Below are 8,783 nucleotides of genomic sequence, written 5' to 3'. Positions count from 1 at the left end.
TTGAATATTTGTTATTTCTTTCTGTCCATCTTTTTCAATGTTCCTATTCTCTCTCCCTCTTTAAATCAAAACCTATATAAAGACTTCTAGTTTCTCTTCCTGAGATGCTTATTCACAGTTCTTACTGAGTCAATTATCTACTCTATTAATCTCCCTTTTAGGATTTTTCCATGTCTGATTCACCTAAATGTTAAAACACATTTAGCCATACACTATATTATGCAGATTGATTTTTCCTTTTACTATATTTTTACTCTATATACTATTTTATATACTATTCTATTTCTTTCCTCTTCCTCACACCCAATCTTGGTGAAATGTCTCATCTCCAGTGTCTGAAAAGGTTTATACCAACCTTCAAATTTGAACTAGAATACATATCACGCCATTTATCCAATAAACTAGAATTAATTTGGTTAGCTTGTGTGGGCTTCTCTATTTGCAATTCCTATTATATCAATTATATCAAACCCCCTCTCTACTAAAAATGCAAGAAAAAAACTAGCCAGCGACAGAGCCAGACTCCTTTCAAAAAAAATAAATAAATAAAGATAAAACTTCTGTTCTGAAGAAACTTAATCATCTATGTTAACACCCACCTACGCCCTGTGAAATGCAATCAATTGGAAGAAAGGGGTGTGGTCTTCAGAGATTTATAAACCGACACTTCAGGAGCCAAGCTCATTCTTCTCCAGAGCCCACAGAGTAGCTTTGCAACTGGCTTTGGGGACTTCCGAAAGCTACCAGCACTGCACTGTGAGACTCTCATCCCTGAGCTGAATCCATCTGATTCGACAGCAAGCTTTGGTGAGAACATAGATATATTTCTGAGGTAAGTACACAATTTCCAGAGAAGGATCTACTATTAGGTTACAAACCAAAACAAAATTTGGGGACTTTAATTTATCTGCAAACTTAGATTATTTTTAGATGGAATGATCTCATTTTCCGAGTTTTAAAAAGGCTCCATTTCTTTTTTAAAATTATTTTAAACATAATCCATAGGTTTATGGATTAAACATGGGCCACCATGTTCAGCTATTTATTTATTTGTTTATTTATTTATTTTGAGATGGAATCACGCTCTATTGCCAGGCTGGAGTGCGGCGGCGCTCTTGGCTCACTGCAACCTCCGCCTTCCAGGTTCAAACGATTCTTCAGCCTCCGCCTCCAGAGTAGCTGGAAATATAGCCGCCTGCCACCACGCCCATCTAAATTTTGTATTTTTTTTAGTAGAGACGGGGTTTCATTATGTTGGCCAGGATGGTCTCCATCTCTTGATCTTGTGATCCGTTCACCTCGGCCTCTGAAAGTGTTGGGATTACAGGCCTGAGCCACCGCGCCCGGCCTTTTTTTTTTTTTTTTTTTTAAATTTATATAAGTATTTTTAGAGACAGGATGATCTAGACATTTTACCGTGTCACCAGTCTAGAGTTCCTGAGCTCAAAATACCTGCCTGACTTGGCCTCCCAAAATGCTGGGATTACAGGCTTGAGTCACCTTCCCTGGCTTGGTTTTAATTTTTATTTGTATTTTAGCAAAACATACATTTAAAACGCTGACTTAACTGTCTAGTGCCTCGTTTTTGTTTTTGTTTTTGTTTTGGGGGGGAGACAGAGTCTTGCTCTGTTACCCAGACTGGAGTGCTGTGGCACTATCTCGGCTCACTGCAAGCTCCGCCTCCCGGGTTCACGCCATTCTCCAGGCCCCGCCTCCAGAGTAGCTGGGACTACAGGCGTCCTCCACCACTCCCGGCTAATTTTTTGTATTTTTTAGTAGAGTTAGGGATTCACCATGTTAGCCAGGATGGTCTTGATCTCGTGACATCGTGATCTGCCAGCCTCAGCCACCTCGGCCTCCCAAAGTGCTCGGATTACAGGCGTCAGCCACCGTGCCCGGCCTCTAGTGCCTGTTATTGCATGATACTTACTCTTTTCCTGACTGTGTGAAAGAGTAATGATAATGCTTCAATTATCATTATCTTTTTGTAAATTGAATTAATTGTCTGTCTTTTAAAGATGTTGTAATATTAACCAGTATATCCCCAAATTAACAGACTGTCCAGGAACAGGAAACATGCCAGAAAGTTTTTGTTGATTAAATTAACATAGCAGCCTAGAAAAACAATGATTCTTAGCTTTACCTTGGAGAGGTAACTTACCTTGATTTGACTGTTTTTCCTTGGAGAGTAAAGGCTGGCTTTTTCTGATTTGGGTCAAAGTATGAGTTCTGCTCTAACATTTTCAAGCAATGTCCTTCTGGAAAAGTCATTATGGATGGTTGTTATAGTTAAATAAAATAATGAGAGTAGAAGAGCTTAGTTAGCTTTCCTTCTCTAAACCAATCACTGGCAATGAAGACTGTTACTGATTTTCAGACCGTTCAAGACTCAAACTTTGAGTTTACAGGTTGATGAAACCCTTGAAGCCCAAGCAATTTGGTGGATACTAACACCTCAAAAAATCCGACATTCTTCCATGCAAGAAAGTAGAGTTTGGAAAGCTGGTCATGTGTTGATTGGAGAACAGTCACTTTTTATAGAGATTGATGTCTCTTTGTGCCTTAGTTTTCTATTTTTCCTATTTCTGTCATTGCAAATTAAAACCTATACTTCTTTAGAAAGAAAGGATATTATTCGATCACGATCTGATTCAAACTTTGCTTGGATCTTTGTCTCTCCAGGGTAGAAGATTAAATTCCTGTGGTTTTCTTTCCTTAGGAAAATGGACTCAGACTTCTCACATGCCTTCCAGAAGGAACTCACCTGTGTCATCTGTTTGAACTACCTGGTAGACCCTGTCACCATCTGCTGTGGGCACAGCTTCTGTAGGCCCTGTCTCTGCCTTTCGTGGGAGGAAGCCCAAAGTCCTGCAAACTGCCCTGCATGCAGGGAACCATCACCGAAAATGGACTTCAAAACCAATATTCTTCTGAAGAATTTAGTGACCATTGCCAGAAAAGCCAGTCTCTGGCAATTCCTGAGCTCTGAGAAACAAATATGTGGGACCCATAGGCAAACAAAGAAGATGTTCTGTGACATGGACAAGAGTCTCCTCTGCTTGCTGTGCTCCAACTCTCAGGAGCACGGGGCTCACAAACACTATCCCATCGAAGAGGCAGCTGAGGAAGACCGGGTAAGAGATAGCTCTGTGATCACCTGAAAGCTGGAGGGTGGCAGAGTTAAAGAGATTAGAAGGATGATGAGAATCACGGTGATTACTCCATTCTTTACTGAGTGCCAGGTGCTGTTCTAGGTACCAATGATGACATTTTGAATAAAATGTGCAACTCTACCTTCCTTCATGGAGCTTGCACCCAAAAAGAGACTGATTAAGTAAATGTCATTATTATTGACTCTACAGTTCAATGCTAATGACATTGAAAAGCTACCAAAACTACCAGTGCAAAGAAAGGTATTTTGGAAATATATTTAATATTACTGGACAAATGAGTATGGGAGTAGCACACTACAAAATCAGGGGCTAGCATAGTGGGTTCTGAAGCAGGATGTTTCCCTGAACTAATTTAGCTGGGTTACAGGAAATCTTCACTCTTCAGTTCCCTAAACTGTTCTACATTCTGAAACCTCAAACTGAAAAATATCAATTAAGGATGAGCAATGAAAAATTTTGTTTTTTTCTCCTCTCACTAATGTATTTATATATTAGATCCCTTGCCTGCTTATACCACTCAGATGGTGGAATCTTTGGTATTTGACTTTCTGTTCAACCTTTAATTCTTTTGCAGGAGAAACTCTTAAAGCAAATGAGGATTTTATGGAAAAAGATTCAAGAAAATCAGAGAAATCTATATGAGGAGAGAAGAACAGCCTTCCTCTTGAGGGTAAGTATGAGACCGTGAGTCCTCCTGACCAGCTTGAGACAGGCATGCTGACAACATTTATATTAGCAACTTGAGTTGAAATTCTCATATGCCAGATTTTGTCATGTGTTTATTCATAGGCTGGAAAACAACCAGACTGTTCAACATAACGATTGTTCAGGTTTTCTGTAAATGCTTTTCAGATAAGTAAAAAATAAATATAAATTCTGAAGGGCAAGTATGTGCTTAAAATTAATAAGTATTTCAGACAGTTTTCTGTATAAAATGAATTATGAAATATTGATTAAATAGTATATAATTGAGAAATAAAGGCATTTATTGGTGAATATGGTATTGTCCGGGGGAAGAAATCGGGTGGGAACAGTAATTTAAGAAATGTGCCTGTGCTGGTGAAATCTGGTAGCAAAGGACCCACATGATGCCAGTCCGAGTAGGAGAAAATGCAACATGAGGAAAAGCTGAGGAGAAGGGATAAAAAATGACTGGGGCAGTGAGAGGATAAATATGTCATTATTGAGAGGAGAAACACAATGGAATGGGGATTAATGTTCTTAGAATGGCAGTGCAATACAGAGTCTATGGATTTGACAGAAGAAAGATAGGAGACAGAAAAGAGGTAGTCGGTTTGAGAGATGGGGGTTAAATTTTTTACTAAGATCCTTTTTGTGTGATGGCTTCTGATCCTGATTATAATATACTAAAAACATTTCTACTAAGAGTGATTGTTCAGGCTGTGAAGTACAGAGATTTGAAACAACAACCTAAGTGAATAACAAAGATTATGTGTATTATCCATGACAATGTAACAATCAATCATAAATTTTAGTTGTTTTCTAATTGTATTTCCGATTTGATTTAAACATTTAAACCTAAAGGGCTTTTTTGCAGGTGTTTGGGAATTGATGAATTACATAAATTTTGAAGGAAGGTCTTGCTTAACTCATCATCCTGTTTGTAAAGGATGGAAAATAAAAGAAGGAATGAGGAGGATGAAGTTGTGGGCTCTGTGAGGTGGAAGTAGGCCTGGGTATATAACCTACAAAATTCATATCCCTACAGGGCGATGTGGTTTTACGGGCACAGATGATCAGGAATGAGTATAGGAAGCTGCATCCGGTTCTCCATAAGGAAGAAAAACAACATTTAGAGAGACTGAACAAGGAATACCAAGAGATTTTTCAGCAACTCCAGAGAAGTTGGGTCAAAATGGATCAAAAGAGTAAACACTTGAAAGAAATGTATCAGGAACTAATGGAAATGTGTCATAAACCAGAGGTGGAGCTGCTCCAGGTAAGAATGGAGGATGCCCCTTGAGACACTTTGTGTTAGCTGACCTTTACATCTTTGCCTTCCATTGGGTACCAAAGACATTATTTCCTCATCTCCTGCACTGACGGTGAGAGTCATTCCCACCGGTTATAGAGATAAACTATAACTCCTACGCTAATCATGGAAATAAAGCTTTATGGAATTGTGCAACTAGATTTCCATACAACATTTTCTACCACAAGCTTCCTCCTCCAGCACATTTCATTAAAACTCTGGAAGAAAAAATTTCATGCTTGATTTGAGCCACATTACACTTTGGGGACTAGCCCTGAAAAAGACCACATTGTAGACAGCTGCAGCAATGCGCAGTCACTACTCACACCTTTCTCTCTCACTCAAATTTAGGGTCCTTAATTTATCAGAAATCCATATTGTCAATAGGTCTTACTGGTATAATTGTTAGAGATGAGAATACATTTTAAAAGAGTGGCAGTAATAGTATACGGTAATTCTAAAGTTTTGAAAACCTAAAGACCAGATAGGCAGAATAGCAACTTTTTTGTGTGTTTATTTTGAGACAGAGTCTTCTTCTGTCACCCAGACTGAAGTCCAATGGCCCAATCTCAGCTCACTGCAACTTCTGCCTCCTTGGTTCAAGCAATTCTCCTGCCTCAGCCTCCCTAGTAGCTGGGACTAAAGGCATGAACCACCACACCCCACTATTTGTGTGTGTGTGTGTATTTTTAGTAGAGACGGGGATTTGCCATGTTGTCCAGGCTAGTCTGGAACTCCTGACCTCAGGTGTTCCACCCACCTTGGCCTCCCAAAGTGCTGGGATTACAGGTGTGAACCACCTCACCCAACAAGAATAACAACTTTCTAAAGAAGTCATTTTTTTTTTCTCTCTCTCTCTACAGGATTTGGGAGACATCGTGGCAAGGTATGTTTTTGGCCGTCAGTGCAAACTGGAGCACAAGGCATGCTATGAAAAACATCAAGCTGTTTCCAACAAAGTGAAAACATAATTTACTAACACCATAATGTGTCAGTGTGATTGTGTGTGTATGTGTGTGTAGTCATGTGTTTATGTGGTATGATGAATGTCATCTATGCCTTTTATCAGACATTAATCTTTTCTTACTTTCCCAAGTGACTCAGGGGTTTATGTTTTGAAGAGTGCAATGCAGAGGTTGCTAGAATACAGTTGCCTCTTTTTGCGATTCAGAATCATAATTAGAGATAAACTATTTGGTGGCAGATAGGGAGAGAGGCATTTATCTTTCAGGGGCAGTAGGTTAGAAATGGAGTGAATAGTTAGAAAGATTCCCTAAGAGCCACAAACCCATCCTAGCGTTGTGGAGGTACATTACGGTATCAGAAGTGGGTTTGAATGAAGCATTTTCTGTTGGAATCTGTTTCTTAAACACAGACATCAGAAAGTTAACCAACTCAACCTACTTCCTTGCAGGAGTGAGTCCGTGCTGCTGCACATGCCCCAGCCTGTGAATCCAGAGCTCACTGCAGGACCCATCACTGGACTGGTGTACAGGCTCAACCGCTTCCGAGGTGAGTGTGGCCCTGTTGGTGGGATCCACATGCAATGCCTTCAATTATGGTTTTCTATGGGCAGCTTTCCCAGTGTAATGATCTTTCATCTAGAAGAAGAGAATAGCCTGTGAATAGGTATTTATATTTATAGTTTCACTATCATCAAACAGACAAAACGAAATAAAAGCTGGTGAAATGTAATAGGAATCAGCCATATAACAAATTTCTTAGAAAAATAAAACATGCAGAAGGGCTCTTTAGGACTTTAGGAACCATTCTCTGATACAATTTCATGTATACAATTATTACATGAAGTATACAGAACTGAATTCAGGACATTTCAATTTCAAATTCAGTGCAGTTAACGACTGATTTGAGTGACAGCGTTTTTTTAAAAAAAATACATTTTTAGGTGATGTTTCATAGCATTTATAATTTTAATCATGTTTTTAATCAACTAAAGCATACATGAGTAACTTATATAACAATGCAAAAACTGAGAATCTGTCAACAATAGGAACATGATTTGGTGGTTGATGAGGTCTTAGATAGAACTCCAGGATAGATCATGACAAATCCAGCAGAATAAAAGAAGTCTGTGCCTGAATCTGGCATGAAAGTCAGATAATTTTTGCAAGGAATCAGCACTTTTCAGAAGGCAGATTCAGGTTTTCTCTTTAAGTATGAATTTGCTAGGTTAAGTGGCAGATCATAATATTTCTGGAAAGTGATAACTTTTTTATTTGGGACTAAGAATAGCTCCCCACCTCATCTCCTGTCCAAAGCCTCCTGCTCTGCCCTGACAGAGACGAGACAATGAAGGTTAATTTTATGGCTATGGACTTGGCTGCAGTGGAGGAGCTTCCAGTTTTTCAGTTGTTATGAAAGGTCGCTAACGAGACATAGACATGACCTTCCTCCCCTTTATACTTTTTGAGTTTATGGAAATTGTGATCATCCTAGTTTAGCCATTTACTTGTGCAGATCTCCTAACACCCTTTGATTCCAACATTTTTCCAGACAGAAGTTTCTTTCTAATCTTGACCTGTGTTTTCTAGTGAGAATCTCTTTCTTATCTGAACATAAGAATTTACAAACTGATTTTCACTGGAACATTCTCTTTTTTCTACAGTGGAAATTTCCTTCCATTTTGAAGTAACCAATCACAATATCAGGCTCTTTGAGGATGTGAGAAGTTGGATGTTTAGACGTGGACCTTTGAATTCTGACAGATCTGACTATTTTGCTGCATGGGGAGCCAGGGTCTTCTCCTTTGGGAAACACTACTGGGAGCTGGATGTGGACAACTCTTGTGACTGGGCTCTGGGAGTCTGTAACAACTCCTGGATAAGGAAGAATAGCACAATGGTTAACTCTGAGGACATATTTCTTCTTTTGTGTCTGAAGGTGGATAATCATTTCAATCTCTTGACCACCTCCCCAGTGTTTCCTCACTACATAGAGAAACCTCTGGGCCGGGTTGGTGTGTTTCTTGATTTTGAAAGTGGAAGTGTGAGTTTTTTGAATGTCACCAAGAGTTCCCTCATATGGAGTTACCCAGCTGGCTCCTTAACTTTTCCTGTCAGGCCTTTCTTTTACACTGGCCACAGATGATCAGGATTAAGAAAACTTACTGTTTGGGAACTCCATATACAAGGGAGCCCTTCACTGTTGATACAAAGAAATCATACTGTTCAGGCTTTTTTGTACTTTAGTGTCACTTCATTTTTATTGCTATTAAATAAAAAATTTGTAAAAGGCAAAACTTTTTGTACATTTTCTTACAATTAAAATAATCTCTTATGGACCATTACCTAAAATACGTATTGTGATTTTCAAGTGTTTGTGAATTTATTGGATGGAATTCTGGAAATATGTGGGTGTGTGATTCCAACTTAATGATCTCATTCAGGAACAACTTTTGTACATCATGGGCAGACGGGGTTTTGTACAATGCACTTGTAAGTGTGAGAGTTCCCTCCTATTAATACAGTAAATTCTACACCTCATCCCTTTGGGGGGAAAAATTTATTTCACACAGAAGTTGTCACTGAATCTTTGGGCTAGAACAGGAATTTAACAGTCATGCATCCTATGGCAACAAAATACATTCTGAGAAATGC

The 8,783-nt window shown here is 39.0% G+C and overlaps 1 protein-coding gene across 2 annotated transcripts; it reads left to right on the top strand.

Moving 5' to 3' along the window:
* Nucleotides 1-683: 683 nt before the first annotated feature.
* Nucleotides 684-8,430, top strand: TRIM43B (tripartite motif containing 43B). 2 transcript variants are annotated; one of them, NM_001164464.2, is made up of 7 exons: nt 684-832; nt 2,720-3,134; nt 3,748-3,843; nt 4,903-5,133; nt 6,030-6,052; nt 6,581-6,678; nt 7,793-8,430. In NM_001164464.2, exons 2-7 carry the CDS (start codon nt 2,724-2,726, stop codon nt 8,272-8,274), a joined length of 1,341 nt encoding a protein of 446 aa, NP_001157936.1. In that variant the 5' UTR covers nt 684-832; nt 2,720-2,723; the 3' UTR covers nt 8,275-8,430. The 2 variants fall into 2 exon arrangements, with proteins under 2 accessions (NP_001157936.1, XP_011509971.1); XM_011511669.2 differs by lacking the exon at nt 684-832 and adding an exon at nt 2,083-2,152.
* Nucleotides 8,431-8,783: the final 353 nt, after the last annotated feature.

Source organism: Homo sapiens, chromosome 2 (genome assembly GCF_000001405.40).
Source record: "Homo sapiens chromosome 2, GRCh38.p14 Primary Assembly".
NCBI classification, from domain to species: Eukaryota; Metazoa; Chordata; class Mammalia; order Primates; family Hominidae; genus Homo; species Homo sapiens.
The sequence above is the reverse complement of the archived record's forward strand: the minus strand, read 5'-3'. Positions and strand labels throughout refer to the sequence as shown.

What these genes read in the sequence shown, in the direction of transcription:
- TRIM43B (XM_011511669.2), top strand. Translation starts at nt 2,127, where the DNA reads ATGATTCTTAGCTTTACCTTGGAGAG. An exon ending in TTGGGAGACATCGTGGCAAG is followed by an intron (nt 6,053 to 6,580) that starts GTATGTTTTTGG and finishes ACTTCCTTGCAG; the next exon opens with GAGTGAGTCCGTGCTGCTGC. An exon ending in CAGGCTCAACCGCTTCCGAG is followed by an intron (nt 6,679 to 7,792) that starts GTGAGTGTGGCC and finishes TTTTTTCTACAG; the next exon opens with TGGAAATTTCCTTCCATTTT.